The sequence below is a fragment of the Homo sapiens genome, chromosome 1 (assembly GCF_000001405.40).
Source record: "Homo sapiens chromosome 1, GRCh38.p14 Primary Assembly".
In the NCBI taxonomy this organism is placed as follows: Eukaryota; Metazoa; Chordata; class Mammalia; order Primates; family Hominidae; genus Homo; species Homo sapiens.
The window spans coordinates 246,566,400-246,584,555 of NC_000001.11; the positions used below are offsets into that span (position 1 = coordinate 246,566,400).

General features: G+C 40.4%; 1 protein-coding gene across 8 annotated transcripts in view, besides 2 other annotated features; it reads left to right on the top strand.

The window, feature by feature from the left end:
• The window catches only part of CNST (consortin, connexin sorting protein), a 102,140-nt gene continuing 84,040 nt past the window's right edge, over window positions 57–18,156 (top strand). For 2 of the 8 annotated variants that reach the window (XM_011544111.2, NM_001139459.2), the window contains exon 1: window positions 57–390. Coding sequence is in view for 2 of the 8 variants with exons in the window: in XM_005273081.4 (XP_005273138.3) it covers window positions 3,475–3,591 (117 nt within the window). In the remaining 6 variants the exon portion in view is untranslated. Of the gene's footprint in view, window positions 391–3,469; window positions 3,592–16,322; window positions 16,530–18,156 lie in introns of those variants that run through there. The other 6 variants (NM_152609.3, XM_011544112.2, XM_005273081.4 and 3 more) reach the window with 4 other exon arrangements.
• Window positions 62–121: an enhancer, noted in NCBI's record as "active region_2856". NCBI's record gives its function as "activates an Ori minimal core promoter by ATAC-STARR-seq in GM12878 lymphoblastoid cells {active_cell/tissue: GM12878}" and the evidence as "EXISTENCE:reporter gene assay evidence [ECO:0000049][PMID:35858748]".
• Window positions 162–661: an enhancer, noted in NCBI's record as "active region_2857". NCBI's record gives its function as "activates an Ori minimal core promoter by ATAC-STARR-seq in GM12878 lymphoblastoid cells {active_cell/tissue: GM12878}" and the evidence as "EXISTENCE:reporter gene assay evidence [ECO:0000049][PMID:35858748]".

Consider the following 18,156-nt stretch of genomic DNA (forward strand, 5'->3'; position numbering starts at 1 on the left):
CTCTATGGTTGTCCGCGCTCTGCGCTTCCTCTCTAGCCGCCAGTGCTCTATGCTCCGCGGTCGCGGGCCGCCAGCCTCCAGCCGGCCAGCCGCGAGGGGTGCGCAGAGGGAGGCGGGGCGGAAAGGCGAGAGGTGTCTCCTCCACCGGAGCCAGGGGAGACCCGAGCAAGCTCCGTGACAGCACGTCGGCCGCCATGTCGCCGAGTGGGGCTGGAAACAGACCCGGCGCCCAGCGGTAGCCCTCCTTGCGCCTCCGATTCCCAGGTGAGGAGAGGAGGAGCGGGATGCAGGGGACCCGCCGGCTCGCGGCCGGGATGGAAAGCCTTTCGGAAGCCTCTCGCTCCTCCCCCTGCGCTGTCCTCCTCCAGCCGCGCAGCCTCTGCCCTCCGGGTGAGGTGTAGCCCGGTCCCCTTACCTCCTCCGCCTCTCAGGTCGCCTGTTTTCCTCTCCTTTCTCAGCTACTGTGGGTCTCCTATTGCTGCGCGTCGCGCCAATTTCTCCCTCCCTAGGGGACTAGCGCCAGAAGTCGTTCCTCACCCGGCTCCTGGAGGAGCCTGCGGCTTCCACGGTCTCCGTTCCTTTCTGTTGTGTGGCCCACAGCCCGCTCTCCCCACCCTCGTGGATGGTTTTCATTTCCCCCCCACACCTGGTCCCCCCCATCACTACCACTTTGGTTGTCAAGAACCGCGTGGTGTCTCCCTTCCATTCCTCTCTCTGGGCCAATATTTTCCTTAATTTTTTCAGTTTGTGTGTTTAAAAGACTTAAAGTTAAGATTAAAAATGAAGATGTAAAAGCTTACAATTCCTTTCTAAGCTTAAAAAGATTAAGACTTTAGGATGCTTACTGTATTCCTTATGTAAACTTAGTCAAACACATCGTACTGTGGAATGCGATTTAAAAGACCCAATTTTGAAGACTAAAAATAGGATGCTGTAATGGAAATTTTGGCAGTCTTTTTTTTTTTACCTATTGGGCAATGTTAGAAGACACGGTTCTTTGAGAGTGTTTTCCGTGTTTCAGGATCAAACTTAGAGCTTTTACCCATTATCCTTACCACCAAGGCAAGAAACGGCAGCCAATCAACTCCGTGTCTTAGAATACGTACAATCCTTTCTGCTTACTCTACTGAGAGTGTAATTGAGTTTGGCATTTAAATGCACGAGGAAAAGGTTCCTAAGGAATGTATCACCCAGCAAATAGTCTGAAGATTATACTCATCTGATGAAGCTCAAGCGGATAAAGAATTGACAACTAAATATGACCTTTTGTGTATTATAAATTTGTTAGGACATCATAGAAAATATCTCATCAACTGTTGTGCAAACTGTGGGGACTCACTCATTGGTCTTAATTTGCTTAAATTCTTTTTTCGTACAGTTTTCTCACTGACAATTTTCTAGAGGTGACTTTGCATCCTCTGAACCTCTCTCCATTACTGAGCTGCCTCCCCCTCTCCCCTTAAAAAACATTTTCATAGATTCAGAAATACACTTTTTTCCCCCTCCAGGACCTGGAGTCCTAAATATTTTTAAATCAGATAAAATAGAATTATGTCTTCATGGTTCACTCATAGAAATGTGTCGTTGAATTTCTGACTTTTTAAAAAAAACACTGTGGTGGCTGGGTATGGTAGTTCATGCCTGTAATCCCAGCACTTTGGGAGGCCAAGGTGGGAGGATCACTTGCTGCCGGGAGTTCGAAGCCAGACTGGGCAACATAGACTCTGTCTCCTTAAAAAAAAAGAAAGAAAGAAAAAGAGAAAAAGAAAAATAAACACATTGTGGTTAAAAACAAAACAGTTATTTTAAAATGCACTGTCTTATTTCATAATGTTTGTGGACCAAAGTTAGCCTACTGAGTCCTAGAAAAACTGATGTCATTTTTTATTTTGCTTTTGAGTGTTATTATTTTCTCTTGGTTTTGGGAAAGAGAATTACATTATAATATTCCCTTTTTACAGTGTTGATGGTTCACTTGTTTGTAATTGAAGGTACTTGAATAATAAGAGATTTTTGTACATCTTATTTTTTTTCTGAGGTCCCAGGTGCTGAGAATGTTGATTTCACCTTAAAGATGAACTTTATGATCAGGATTTAGACATACTTTATTAGAAAAACTTGATTAGTGTGCAGTATTTCCCATCTTTTTTCTTAAGAAGTGTGGTTTTCTATCCTATGCTGTTTTTGCCTTTTTGAAGTAATTTTGAGATGGAGTCTACTCTGTCGCCTAGGCTGGTGCCATCTCGGTTCACTGCAACCTCCGCTTTTCGGGTTCAAGCAGTTTCTCCTGCTTCAGCCTCCCGAGTAGCTGGGATTACAGGCTCCTGCTACTATGTCCAGCTAATTTTTGTATTTTTAGTAGAGACGGAGTTTCGCCATGTTGGCCAGGGTGGTCTTGACCTCAGGTGATCCTCCGACCTCCACCTCTCAAAGTGCTGGGATTACAGGCGTGAGCCACCACGCCTTTAAAATACTTTTTTTCTTGCTTTTTACATTTAAATATATTTATTTATTTGTGAAGGCGGAGTTTTGCTATGTTGCCCAGGCTGGTCTCAAATTCCTGGCCTCATGCAATCCTCCCACCTCAGCCTCCCAAAACACTGGTATTACAGGCATGAGCCACCACACCCAGCCTCTTTTGGCTTTTAAATGACAACTGTAATTGGGAAATGCCAAGTGATAGTCCTTGCTTGCTGTTAGAATTAAGGCTGTAGGTCTGTAGCAGCAGTCTTCAATAGAAATACAATGCAAGCCATATAAGTAATTTAAAATTTTCTAGTAGTGGTATTAAGAAAGTAAAAAGAAACAGGTAAAATTTTAGTAGTATATTTTATTTAATCTTATATATGTTATTTTAACATGAAATCAATTTTTAAAATGAGATATTTTACATTATTTGATACTAAATCTATAAAATCTGGTATTTTATACTTACAGCACATCTCAGTTTGGAGAAGCCACATTTCAAGTGCTCAACAGTCACATGTAGCTAAATGTTACCTTACTGAGCAGCACAAATGATAGGATGGTCACATGATTTTTAAGCTGTCTTCCTACACTGAGAGTCTGATTCTGTGGGGTAAATTAAAAACTCCTCTTCCTGAAGTACTGCGGTATTTAATTTGAGAAGTTTCTATGCAGGAAGAGAGTTCTAAGTCTCTTCCTTTTAGTGTTTTTGTTTTGTTTTGTTTGTTTTGAGACAGATTCTCATTCTATTGCCCAGGCTGGAGTGCAGTGGCAGTCCCGGAGCCCTGAACTCCTGGGATCAAATGATCCACCTCAACCTCTCAAAGTGTTGAGATTACAGGCGTAGCCACCATGCCCAGCCTCTTTCTCTTAGTGTTGACTGTGTTAACGTTGAGCCCCATGCTTGTTTAATGAGGCTCATAAGATGAATAGTGTTCAGTCATTTCCTGGCGTGTCATTGTTACTAGTTATTTACATCTGCACGTCAACAGTGTGTCAAGGCACAGTATGAGTTTCTGTCGACTAAATTGTAGGGAGAACTTGAGGACCTTCAAGAAGATTGAACTTTATTGTGAACAGGTAGAGTACCTGTTGTTGCAGAGTTATTTTCTGAGTCAGTTTCAGGTAAGGCTAAGAGTTTTATAAATGTGCTTCTTTATATCATGGTGTTTCTTACCAAGGGAAAGATCAAATCTTTGAGCAAAATTTAGAAAGGAAGAGAGTAGGTTTTATGGCTGTAGAATGCTGGGAGCCTGAGTAAAGTAAAAGATTAACTTGTGTATGGTGGTTTAGGGGAATTTAAAAGGAAAGATGGCAGTTTTTATATAAAGCAACTGACATACTGTCTCCATACGTGCTTCAAGTTGTTTTTGCAACAAGGGTGGTGATTTACGTAGAACCGTCAGTGGTTCAGAGCTGCTGTAACAAAGGTAACTCTAAAGCCAGTTAACCTCCATGGGGATCAGTCAGACCCATCATTGTTCCTGTCTTGACCTCTGTGCTCTAATAAACTTCCCTAAATACTACTTTAGCTGCTGTGTGTTATATCTACATTAATAGCTAAATTAGCCTGAAGGCCTAATTAATATTCAGTGTAATTTAATACAGGAAACATGCCCTCTTCTCAACCTTTATAGTATGAAGAAATTTTAAATTACCTGGTCAGTGAACAAACTCCCTCTGTCAAATATAGTCATGATAGACCTGGCACAATGTAGGGACTATGGGGAGTGTTAGAGGATCAAAGACAGAATTGGGGAAGGGGTATAGTTACTGGATGTTACTTGTTCTGTGAGAGATGTGTGGATGTTCTATAAGAAAATAATAATGTTTTTTGTTTGTATTTAAAACTAGATAGCTGTTTATTGGCACCCTTTTAGTTGGATAAGAGAAAATACATTGCTTGGTTTCTACAAGTGAGTCTTAGCAAATTTATTGTAGTTATTTTAGGAAGAGTAATTGATAGTGCAGTAATCTTCAGTTTTTAAAAAGCCCTGATAAGGTTTAACTGGGCTTTAAAAGCATTATATGCTTAATGAGAAATTCTAACTTAATATATGTATGTCTTGATACTGTTATGTAACCTTTCCAGTTTAGGGCCTTCAAGATTCACATGAATACAGGCTTTCCTTTATGTAGGAATCATTCTCATGGGGGAAATTATATATCCTCTCAGGGAATAATTTTGTTTTTTAAGCATTTGAAATAATTGTTTGTAATATTCGTTAAAGAACACATCATTAGCAGAATTCTGAAGTCTTATAATAGCTTGAGATTTCTTAAATTGTTTTTATCCTTTTTGAGACAGTCTTGCTCTGTCGCCCAGGGTGGAGTGCAGTGGTACGAGATCTCAGCTCACTGCAACCTCCACCTCCTGGGTTCAAGTGATTCTCCTGCCTCAGCCTCCCAAGTAGCTGAGATTACAGGCGTGTGCCACCACACCCAGCTAATTTTTTGTATTTTTAGTAGAGACAGGGTTTCACTATGTTGGCCAGGCTGGTTTCAAACTCCTGACCTCAAGTGATCCGCCCACCTCAGCCTCCCAAAGTGCTGGGATTAAAGGCGTGAGCCACTGTGCCAGGCCAAATGGTTTTTATCTTAGTTTTGAGATCCTGCTCTTTAACATTTTGGAGATGGAAACTTTTTGCCATTATACCCTCCACCCTTCCGTCTCTTAGGACTTCCTGTTTTTCATCATCATTAGCCACGTGGAAAGGAAAGACAGTGTGTGCCTATGAAAATACTGACAAATCAAGATGATTTTTCCTTTTAGATTAAGAAAAATTCTGAAACAGTAAATGGTAAATTTTGTCATATTTATTTACTTATTTTAGAGATGAGGTCTCACTATGTTGCCCAGATTAGCCTTGAACTCCTGGGCTCAAGTGATCCTCCTGCTGTAGCCTCCTGAGCTGGGGCTATAGGCATGTGCCACACTGTCTGGTTAGTCACCCTTCATTGACATTTGGGCATTTGATATTTAAATTGACAGTATCTAGGCAATTATAGAAATTAACATTATTTTGCAATTGGCATATGTATTAAATTTTCTTATGAGAATAATTGCCCTGTTTTTTTCTGGAGAGCCACTACCTGATTAAATAATCACATATTTTTTCTACCTTAGCTGCATTTTGAAAACTCAGTGAATTAGGTGACTGTGGTTTTCTAATTTGAATGAAGGTAAAGTAACCTTTAAAAATGGTTTTTGGCCAGTCACAGCCATGCCTGGGACTCACGCCTGTAGTCCTAGCTACTCTGGAGGCTGAGGTGGGAGGATCACCTAAGCACAGGAGGTCAAGGCTGCAGTGAAGCATGACTGCACCACTGTGCTCTGCACTCCAGCCTGGGTGACAGAGTAAGACCCTGTCTCAAAAATACATACATAAATGAATTAAATACTTTTTTATATTATAGATTTTGAAATAAGTTATTAAAAAATTTGGGAACTTTATAAGATCAAATGCTGCTGTCCTTGAGTATTTGATAGTATACTGCTTATATTTTGATTTTTTGTATGCATTGTCCTTGTTCATTATTTTTCTCTTCTGCAGCTTTTATTCCCAGTATACAACTAAATCTTAAAAATAATTTTTAGATGAACTGAAAAACATTGCCTAAGATTTTTCAATAAGGATTTTTGTGAAAATGTGTGTGGTTTGTTATTTAGAGATGAGATCTCACTGTTTTGCCCAGGCTAGTCCTGAACTCCTGGGCTCAAGTGATCCTCCTGCCTTGACTTCCCAAAATACTGGGATTATAGACGTGAGCCACCACTCCCAGCCAAATGTATGTTTTATTTATTGAATAATAAATAGTGGAGTTATTTATTTATGTGTGTGATATGTGGTTTTTTTAATTATTAATTTTTTAGAAAAATAGAAGCAGGGTTTCGCCATGTTGCCTAGGGTGGTCTTGAACTCCTGAGCTCGAGCAGAGTGCCTACTTCAGCCTCTCAAAGTGCTGGGATTACAGGTGTGAGTCACTGCACCAGGCCTGAGTTATTTGTTTTTACCTCATGAAACAACAACTAACATTTTAGATTTTTTTTTCCACTTGTGAAGCATGAAAAAGTTTACTTAAATTGGATCTTACAAGGATTCATGTAACCAACAGGATTTCCTCCCTCAGCGTCAACTCACATGAAAAGAGGGGTGGACGTTTGTGCAAATTATACTGGTTATGATATTGTGAAATGTAGTTTCCTGGAAAAGTCATTATTGATACCCATTTTTGGCATCTTAATTCAAATTCAGCCATCAGGCTTTATTTTAAATGATTTACACAGCAATCTCTAGATTCTTCTTGCTACAAGTATTTTAAAAATTTTGTTGTGGAGTTCTTCGGCATGCCAGTTAGAGTTATACCTGTAGCATTGGATAAGCACTGTAAAGAGCCAAAATTAGAGGTAATACCCTTGCTCTTCCCTACTTTAATCATGTAATATAGGTCTTGTGACTTGGAAGAAGATTGTCTTATTACCATTACATTTGAACTTTTGTTTTAAAATTAATCTGTTAGATCATATATTCACCAAAGCTCATCTTTTCACTAGCCAGAGAAAGCTGTATTTCAAAATAACCTAAAGTAAAATAGTATTTAATTCAAGAAGTTAGTTTTTATTATATCAGGTGGCCTCTTGGTTGGTTATAGTTTCGTGCATTCTGATGCCTGCGGGCTTTTTATCCTTCCTGTCTCCACTGCATAGCTGGGGAAAACCTAGGGATTGCCCGGTGAATGCCAACAGAGCTTTAACCTGTGTGTCCATGGCTTGCCTTCCCTGAAGCCTCAAAGAGAACAGCTGCGAGTGCAAAAACCTTATGAGCAAAATTTCTGCTCCAGGAACACTTATCTGGGCTGAGGAAACATATTCTAAGAATATCTGTTTTGTAACTAAAGCTTCCATGTACTTGTGTAACGCTTTGTGTAAAACCACGTACTTTGTATAGCCTTTGCTGGAGAGTTTCCATTTTCCTCCAGCTCTTCAGTGTAAGTGAAAAAATGTGCCCAGAATGTCTCTATAGATTATTCTGCCTTCCCTCACCTTTTAGTTTTTTCCATGGAAAGCTGACAGGTCAGAATAGGCATATTTTATTAGAAACTCGAAGTGGTGGGGGGTAGAAGTACACATCTTTGCCTCTTTTTTCCTTCTTGATTACAGAAGTAATAATGCTCCAAAGATGTTTTTTAATAAAACTGAGTCTCGCTCTGTTGCCCAGGCTGGAGTGCAGTGGCGTGATCTCAGCTCACTGCAAGCTCCACTACTCCTGGGTTCACGCCATTCTCCCGCCTCAGCCTCCGGAGTGGCTGGGACTACAGGCACCCGCCACCGCGCCCGGCTAATTTTTTGTATTTTTATTAGAGACGGGATTTCACCGTGTTAGCCAGGATGGTCTCGATCTCCTTACCTTGTGATCCGCCCGCCTCGGCCTCCCAAAGTGTTGGGATTACAGGCGTGAGCCACCGCTCCCAGCCGCTCCAAAGATTTTTTAAAAAGATAAATAAATTTTAACTTGAGGAAAACATGGTTATTCAAAAATTCGTGTTTTTTCTTTTTCTTTAAAAAAAATTTTTTTTAGAGACAGCTTGTCGCACTATCACCCAGGTTGCCATGCAGTGGCAAGATTATAGCTCCGTGCAGCCTCAAACTCCTGGACTCAAGCAATCCTCCCACTTCAGCCTCCCTAGTAGCTGGGACTGCAGGTATGCAGTCTAATTTTTTTTTTTTAACTTTTTGCAGAGATAGGGCCTCCCTGTGTTGCCCCAGCTGGTCTAGAACTCCTGGCCTCCTCCAGGAGCGATCCTCCAGCCTTGGCCTCCCAAAGCACAATACGTGTATTTTTCAGAGGGAATTCTCAACTTTCATCAGATTTTTCAAGGAATATGTTACTCAAAAAAGGACAACAACCACAGCATCAGTTTGACTTGGTTGGTTATTGCATGTCCTTCCTAAATCTCTCTTATAAGCAGCTATGGCTTTATAAGGATTCCTATGTAAAAGCATCATTTTTAGTAGTATTTTATTTAAAACAAAAATAATTTAATAGATTATGAAGGAAAGTCATAGTGAGTCAAAGAACAAATCTGAACAAATCTTCCTCAAGTATTTTATTTATTTATTTATTTATTTATTTATTTATTTATTTTTGAGACAGAGTCTCACTCTGTTGCCCAGGCTGGAGTGCAGTGGCACGATCTTGGCTCACTGCAGCCTCCACCTCCCGGGTTCAAGTGATTCTCGCCTCAGCCTCCCGAGTAGCTGGGATTACAGGCACCCGCCGCCAAGCCTGGCTAATTTTTGTATTTTCAGTAGAGACGGGGTTTCATCATGTTGGCCAGGCTGGTCTTGAACTCCTGACCTCCTGACCTTTTGTCAAGTGTTCAGACAAAAACGTGCACAAATGTTTATAACAGCATTATTCACAGGAGTCAAAAAGTAGAAACAGCCCAAATGTCCATCAACTGATGAATAGATAAATAAAAGGTGGTATATCTGTACAGTGGAAGATTCTTTGGCAATAAAAAGAAATGAAGTATCAGTATATAGTACAACATGGATACCCCTTGAAAACATGCTGAGTGAAAGAAGCTAATTGCAATAGACCGCATATTGTATAATTCCATTTACGTGAAATGTCCAGAATATGTAAATCTATAGAGACAGAAAGTACATGAGTGGTTTGAGTGATTGCCTGGGGCTGTGGTGGGGGTGCAGGAGAATGGGAAATCACTGCTAGTGGGTATGTAGGGCAGGGGGGATCTTTTCGGGGTGATAAGATGTTCTAGAATTGATTGTGTACAATTTGTGAATACTAAAAGCTATTGAATTGTGCATTTTAAGTGGGTGAATTGTATGGTATATGAATTATATGTCGATAAAGGTGTCATGAAACTCAACTAGAAAAAATACAAGTTTATCATAGAAAATATGTAAAATACAGAGAAGTGGAAGAGGAAAAAAGTAATTAGCATTTTTAAAAATTCCCTATTTTTATTTCAATGATAAAAAATAATATAAGCTTATTCAAGAACAATACTGACACTTTAAAACAACATTCTCATATAAGATTTCAGTGCTCTCTGGGCGCGGTGGCTCGCGCCTGTAACGCCTGTAATCCCAGCACTTTGGGAGGCCGAGGCGAGCAGATCACTTGAGGTCAGGAATTCAAGACCAGCCTGGCCAACATGGTGAAACCGTGTCCCTACTAAAAATGCAAAAATTAGCCAGGCATGGTGGCGGGCGCCTGTAATCCCAGATACTCTGGAGGCTGAGGCAGGAGAATTGGTTGAACCCGGGAGGTGGAGCTTGCAGTGAGCCGAAATGGCGCCATTGCACTCCAGCCTGGGCGACAGAGCCAGACTCCGTCTCAAAAAAAAAAAAAAAAAAAGAAACAAAGATTTCTCAGTAATTGGTGGTGGGAGAGTTGGATCCTCACGTGCCTATGATAACCGTGCAGTCACAGTGTATACCGTATTCCACTAGTGAACAAAACTTTAATTTTTACAGAGCAGCATCGTGTTCAGTGACTATTATTTTAACTTTATTGATTTTTTTTGCATGTCATAATTCGTAAATTTGTTTTGGTTTAATTGTGTTAGAGTTAGAAGCACATAAAAATTATGTTTTTACATCCTTTTTTTTTTTTCTGAGATGGAGTCTCACTCTGTCACCCAGGCTGGAGTGCAGTGGTATGATCTCCACTCACTGGAACCTCTGCCTCCCAGGTTCAAGTGACTCTCCTGCCTCAGCCTCTTTAGTAGCTGGGACCGCAGGCATGTTACCACGCGCGGCACATTTTTGTATTTTTAATAGAGACGGGATTTTTCCATATTGGCCAGGTTGGTCTCTAACTCCTGACCTCAGGTGATCCACCCCCCTCAGCCTTCCAAAGTGCTGGGGTTACAGGCGTGAGCCACCGCACCCAGCCACAAATTATATTTCTTAATTCTTTTTATCCTATTACCCCTTCCCTTGGCTACCACCCCCTACCCTCCACCCACATCCACAGTGCTTTAAGATAAAGGAGATTAATTTCGCCTGTAGGAATCCATGGGAACTTGGCCTTCAGACTTCAGGCAAGCACCAGAGTGGAAACATTTGGAAGTCTCATTCTAACATGTTTTTACCTTAAAATTTTTTAAAAATTGGATTAGGTTTTTATGTTTTTAGAACCATCTTGCCCTCCCTTTTCTAGCTTTTGACGGGACATTGCCAAATTAATAGGCTGTTTTGAAGATTACTAAGATGGGCATCTTTCATTTCAGTAGGGAAAAGAACATGTGCTAAAGGAATTATTCAGGTGAAAATGCTTTTGTGATTAAAAATGTTCTTCAGAACTGATACTTCTCATGAAGTAAATTTCAACAGTACAAGCAAACCCTGTTTTCCTGTTGTTATGACTTTGTTGTTCTCACCTGTCCTCCATACCGCCCCACCACAGCGTCACTCCCTTTATAGCCTCTTCCTACTGGTACCTCCTTATTCCGGTTCTCTTTCTAGACCCTCTACTATCCTCTGTGTTTATTTTGAACTGAACTTTGGATTAAAGTACTACCTTTTTGTAGCTGTTACTCAAAGTTTGTCTTCACTTGTGCTTGGAATTTGAGGTTACTCTACTGTTGTTCAGACTTTACCTTTAAAATTCCAGGAGCATCCTGTTAGTAAAACAATGAGTTTTAAAAATTTCGGTAAAGGTGGTCATAATTCTTACAGGAACCAGTTTTATCCCATTTAGTTCACAGATTTTCATTTTGCCTTTTTAATGGGCATAGAATTCTCTTTCATGTTTTTCTGTAGCCGAGAAACCTAGTCAAGAATGTGAGGTGAACCTTTCAAGTAAAATTGTAGTTGAAGAAACAAAAGTGGAAAGGCTAGGTTAAAATAAATTTGACCCTGGCCTAATTCCATTTATCTCATACCCACTTTAGAAAAGAACTAAAACAGTCTGTGCATGGTGGCTCACACCTATCATTTCTTTGCGTTTTTACTAATTCATGCTTCTTTTTTGGACTTTGCTGACTCGTCCCTGTATTAATCTTTCACTGACAAAAATATCCTCTGTTCTCAAGTTTCCCTCTTCTGTTTCCTACCAGATAATACTTGTGGTTTTTTTGTTGTTAAGTACATTTTAAACATCATCTTTAGAGATATAACCATTTTTTTCTACATCTGTTTCCTTGGGTAAAAGGTAGTGAGAGACTTTAGTATTGTAGTTCAATTGAACAAACATTAATTAAACACCGTTCATATGCCTGGGCTATGTTTTGGTGAGGATTGTAAAAGAAGTAATGGGCACATTCTCCTGCTGCAAGCATTCAAGCACTTGAATTCCAGATGGGAAATAATATATATGCATGAAATAACTTGAGAAAAATTCTAAAACAATAAATAAGCAAATTCGAGACAGTGTCTACTAAATACCAAATAAGTTACAGTGCTTTAAAATAAGCTCTAAAATTATCGTGCTCTAAAAAATGGGTCTCTGAAAATGTTTCAGTGTGGATTCTGTATTAACCATTGCCTTCGGCTGGGCGTGGTGGCTCACGCCTGTAATCCCAGCACTTTGGGAGGCTGAGGTGGGCGGATCATGAGGTAGGAGATCGAGACCATCCTGGCTAACACGGTGAAACCCCGTCTCTACTAAACATACAAAAAATTAGCTGGGTGTGGTGGCACGTGCCTGTAGTCCCAGCTACTCGGGAGGCTGAGGCAGGAGAATTGCTTGAACCCGGGAGGCGGAGGTTGCAGTGAGCCAATATCGTGCCACTGCACTCCAGCCTAGGCAACAGAGAGACTCCGTTTCAAAAAAAAAAAAACTATTGCCTCAAATTATAATTGGCCTCTTCTAAGGCTAAATAGTATTATTACAATTTCTGTTCCTCCTTCTCCTCCTAACTTATCAAACTCTTCAACCCCAGCTCAAATTCCATCTTGCTTATGGAATCTGCCCTACATACCACAAGCAGCACAGAATCTGGAGCCAGTCTGCCTAGGTTGAGTCCTAATTCTGAGAACTGTTTGACTTTGGATGAGTTGCTTTACCTATTAGTGCTTCAAATTGCTTGTCTGTAAAATGCTAGTGCTAATAATAACTACCTAATAGGACTGTTGTGAGGAATTGTTACTATATGCATGGCAAAGCGTAAGCACTATATAAATGTGTCTTGTTATTCTCATACTCTGGTATTACGGTCACTTCTCACAATAGACTTAAACATAAACATTTCTATAAAGTGATTTATTTGAGCTTAAATATTTTTTGGAATTTTATATTTTGTATATTCTGCTCTATAATAGCTGTTTGTGTTAACATAAAATTAGCATCTCTCTTCCATCCTCACCTTTAGAAGTGAATTGATGTTACCAGAGAGTGTCCATTTATCATCCTGTGACTTTGCAGATCCCTGGTCAGCTTTTTCTCTTTCCTGTTTCTGTTAAGTATGTATTCATTCTGCCTTGTTGCCCATTAGGTTCTGCATGTGTGCTTTTCACTACCTTATTATAAGCTCTTCCTCCCAAGGAGCAATGCTGTTTCAGTGATGACAACAAATGTGATTATTGAACTCTTAGTGCTATGCATCTTGCTATCACTAGAAAATTCATGATTCACAAATAGCCAGTAGCTGGGCTAGGTGGCTCACACCTGTAATCCCAACACTTTGGGAGGCCAAAACAGGAGGATCACTTGAGCCCAGGAGTTCAAGACCAGCCCAGGAAACATGGTAAAACTCCATCTCTTCTAAAAATGCAAAAATGGTGGGCACCTGTAATTCCAGCTACTTGGGAGGCTGAGGCAGGAGAATCACTAGAACCTGGGAGGCGGAGGTTGCAGTGAGCCAAGATTGCCCCACTGCACTCCAGCCTGGGCGACAGAGTGAGACTCTGTCTCAAATAAATAAAAATAAAAATCACACAGAGTCCTCAGCAGAGTAAATAAAACAAAATTTCTAGCGGTTGACATCTGGAGACTATTTACAAGGATGTTCTTAATTTATCTTTATGGATGACTTTAGCAGTTTCCCATAAATTGTCTCATTTTATTCTTACAGCAAAGAAACAAAGGCTTATAGAGTTGAACTAATTTGACTAAGATTTCACAGCTGGCGAGTATCAGAAAACTGTATTTGCACTGAGAAGGGAATGACTCCAAAATTAGAGCTTCCTTTCTTACTGCTCTGTCTTATCTCTAGTCTTAGTTCTTGTTTTGAAAGGGAACTTCTGGTACTTACGAATGACGGGGCTTATCTTCTTGAAAGTGGTAATAAACTGTACTAAATTTCTAAGGTTAAAAAATTAAGATGTAACATTACCAGTTTTCTCTTTTATTGATGGTTTCCTTAGATTTTTTTTAAATAAATAATCTCTTGTACCTTTTTTTGAGAACTGTATGTAGATTTCATTCTGGACATATAAATATTAAGGGTTAGGTAGCATTTAAAGTATTTGTGGTCAGAAATTAAATGAATGCATGAAATACTGTACTCTTTTGAGTAAATTCTAAAAATAATCCCTAATCATTTCATTACAGACAGTTGGACATTATTTTGCCATTTACCAATATACTTTTTTTTTAATATACCTTAAAGACCAGAGAGAAAGGTAAGAACAGTTATGAAATTGCACTTCTCTGATTAGAAGACTTATTCAGGAGGACTGGAAGCAGAATTTTCAGACGTTTCTTTCTAAATGGATTCTATTAACTTCCACAGTACTTTGTTCATAGCAGACCTTCAAATATTTGGTTGGCTTCATGCAAAAAGGAGGTATCTCTTTACTCCCTTCTGTATTGCTGATGCTAATTGAATTATCTTTTAAAGATTCAGCATATTTTACGGGGATTTAATTTTGAGAACATTGGTGTCTTTCTGAAGGTTTCTTTTTTTTTCTTTTTTTTTGAGACAGTCTCACTCTGTTGCCCAGGCTAGAGTGCAGTATCATGATCTTAGCTCACTGCAACCTCTGCCCCCAGGGTTCAAGCGATTGCCCCGCCTCAGCTTCCTGAGTAACTGGGATTACAGGCGCGCGCCACCACACCCGGCTAATTTTTGTATTTTCAGTAGACGGGATTTCACCATGTTGGCCAGGCTGGTCTTGAGCTCCTGACCTCAAGTGATCCCCCCACCTTGGCTTCCCAAAGTGCTGGGATTACAGGCATGCGCCACCACGCCCAGCCTGAAGGTTTCTTTATAGCATGTAAAAAAAATGTAATTCATCGAAATATCCACTCACATCCTGATACTTCCTTGAGTAATAATCTTCTGTCTTTAGTTGCTATTTCTGTCCTGTATTTTCATTGCAATTGTATGCTTTTCTTCTTTAACCATTCCCATACATGGATATGGTAACAGCCACATTGGATGAAACTTCATCAGTGTCTCCATGCTGTATTTTTTCTACCCATACCAATCTTTTTTTTTGAGACGGAGTTTTGCTTTTGTTGCCCAGGCTGGAGTGCAATGGCGCAATCTTGGCTCACTGCAACCTGTCTCCCGGGTTCAAGCAATTCTCCTGCCTCAGCCTCCCGAGTAGCTGGAATTACAGGCATGCGCCTCCACGCCTGGCTGATTTTGTATTTTTAGTAGAGACAGGGTTTCTCCATGTTGGTCAGGCTGGTCCCGAACTCCTGAGCTCGGGTGATCCGCCCACCTTGGCCTCCCAAAGTGCTGGGATTCCAGGCGTGAGCCATCACACCCGGCCCATCCCAATCTTTTAGAAACGTAGTCTGGGTCCTTGTAAAGCACATGGTTGCTTAAAAACATTCCATTACAGCTGCAAACTCCTAATGTGTTCTAGAGGACATTGCATTTTACATTTTCCATTTCTTATAAACTTTTACAAAAGCAATATAAGTAAATAGCTGATAAAGTGTTCTTTGTGGCTTTGAAGAAACGTTAGTAGCTTAGGAGATGCCCTTTACCAGCAGCCCGTTAGTACTTGGTTTATATTATTTTTTATTCATATGTCTGAGCTGGATTCTGTAGGGAGAAATGAAAAATGTTTTATAGGCAAAATTTTATGAGATGTCTGCTAATATCATAGGCAAAAGTATTTTTGCAATATGTATTATATCTAATTAATTTAATGGTATCCAGTATAATATAATATCCTTTAACTGGGGTTTTTTTAAATAGAAGTGTCTTTTCATTACAGCTTAAAAGATGGTTGTAAACTTTCATATAAGTCAAGTACGCAGTTGTTAATAACCTTATATGTATGTACTCCTTATATTTAGCAAGATGAAATTTTTCAGATCCATATGCTAAGAGTTATCAGATTTACTGGCCCTTCACACAAATCAAAAAACGAAGTTAAACACGACTTTGCTGTTGCTGTTTTTCTTTCCTCTGCCTTCTCCCACTGTATTCTATCTCTCACCATCTGTTACTGACAGTTATCAGCATAGAGTGACCTGTACCTGGAGGTGGGTTCATAACTGTCTTTTACCTTCCACATCTACTCAGTCCTGCAAACTGTGAACTCCACCTCCATGCTTTTTTTTTTTTTTGAGGTGGAGTCCCTGTCTCCCAGCCTGGAGTGCAGTGGTGTGATCCCGGCTCCCTGCAACCTCCGCCTCCCAGGTTCAAGTGATTTTCCTGCCTCAGCCTCCCTAGTAGCTGGAATTACAGGCACGAGCCACTGAGCCTGGCCGGGCTTACGTTTTGTATCCTTCTCCCCTTTACCCCCTAGTAATTGGTTCATGGCCCACTAGGGGAAGAAAAGATGGTCTTTCACAACAGATAGTCTGAAAAGCGCTGGTCTCAATTCCTGTACTGGGCTCTGGCCCCGCCTCCGTTTATCAGGCTCGTCACTACTTTACTTCAGCACTCTTATTCCAAAGTCTAACTATTCGCTGTTCATTCTGTACTTCCTCACCTTTTTATTTGGTCCTGTTTATTTCTTCTCTTGAGATTACCTCTCCATGCACCTCAGGTACGAGTAGAATGGAGGGAACACACCATCTCAGAGCTGGGTTACAATGTCCTCTTGTCCAGTGTTATCTGCTATATCAACATTTCCTCCAGACCGTGGCTGAAGATGAACAAGGCAGCTCAGCAGATTGAAGGTGCCTGGGGCCAGCACTCATTCGCCCTGTCTGAGAAACGCAGGGACCTCCCTGACCCTGTTGTCCGCCCGTTAGCGTGATGAGCAGCTGTGGATTTCATCTGTGTTTCTTGGGCAGGGGGGCCTGTAGGTATAGAAATGGATACTACCAATTGGATTGGCTGATTTAATACCTCATGAATATCAGTACCTTCATGAGTATTTTGTGTCTCCTCTGGTCTTGTGAATATTTGGTGGTTATGAGTGCTTTCATTCCTTCCTGTGTTTACCATACAGATGCCCTGTTTACTTTCTCTGTGTCTAACTTCTCACGCTGTTTGCTCTGCACTTATTTTCATCTCTTTTATTTGTATCTTTGATTTTCTGTAATGGAATTGGATATTCTCAAATATTCACGCATTACACCTTTCCACAGTAAAAGTAACCTTCATTCCTCTGACTCTCAAAGAAATTGCCTGTCATTGATCACATTCTTCTTTGTAGCAAAGTTTTTTTGAGAGAAGAGGAATGTTAGGGCAGGGTTTATAGACATAGCGTATAATTCATTACCTGCTAGAGTATCAGCTCTTGTATTTTTATTAGCTACTTTTAGAATATATAGTCCTCAGGGCATGTTGTGTCTCATCTGTCTCTCTCTTGCCTCATTGTATTTAGTATGTGGATCTTGTTTGTTGTAGACACTCAAAATTGATTACCCTGAAGGCTGGTGAAGTTTAGTTAAAGCTCTGAGGTCAGAGTTCAGTCTCATGTGGAGACTTATTTGCTTTGTTTCATGTCCTCATAGTAACCTTGAATGCTGGCCAAGTGGCTTTTGGTTACAAAGAGCACTGGGTAAGACAAAGAATTAGCACTTGTATTGCATAAGCAGTTTAAAACCAGTGTTCCTCTGAATGTGGGGCAGGAGCATCGTGTTCCCATTCAAAGGGCAACATTATATCATAATTTTTCAAGATAAGAAAAAGTAGACAATGAGGATGGCAGAAGAAAATATATGTGAATTTGCCTGTAACTGTACTTTTTTTTTCTTTTTAAGAGGCAAGGTCTTGCTGTGTTTCCCAGGCTGGAGTGAAGGGATGGTCATAGCTCACTGCTGCCTTGAACTGCTGGGCTTTAAGCAGTCCTCCTGCCGCAGCTTCCTGAGTAGCTAGAACCACAGGCACACGCCACCAAGCTCACCTAATATTTTAGAGTGTCTGTAGAGATGGGGTCTCGCTTCAAGACCCAGGCTGGTCTTAAATCCCTGGTCTCAAGCGATCCTCGCAGAGTGCTGAGCCACCATGCCCAGCCACATATGTTGGCTTTCTTGTATAGGTATAAGAATTCAGTGATGTATCTATGTTAGAAGAATCCGAAATCGCTAAGAAATATGAAATTTCAAATTCACTTATATAAGTCAACATTTTAAGAATTAATTTTCTTTAAGTGAAGTAAACCAGGGGCAAGAGTTTCAAAAAATGCATTCAGATGTCCACATAAAGTGGGAAGAATGGCGGTGCAGTCAAGAATAAAGAGGGAGCACAAATGAAAATTGGTGTCGAGATAGACTGAAGAAACCTGGTCTTTCCATTATGATGAAAAAAATTCCAGCGTAGGTATCAGTCTTATTGATACTTTGTACTCAAGTAGAA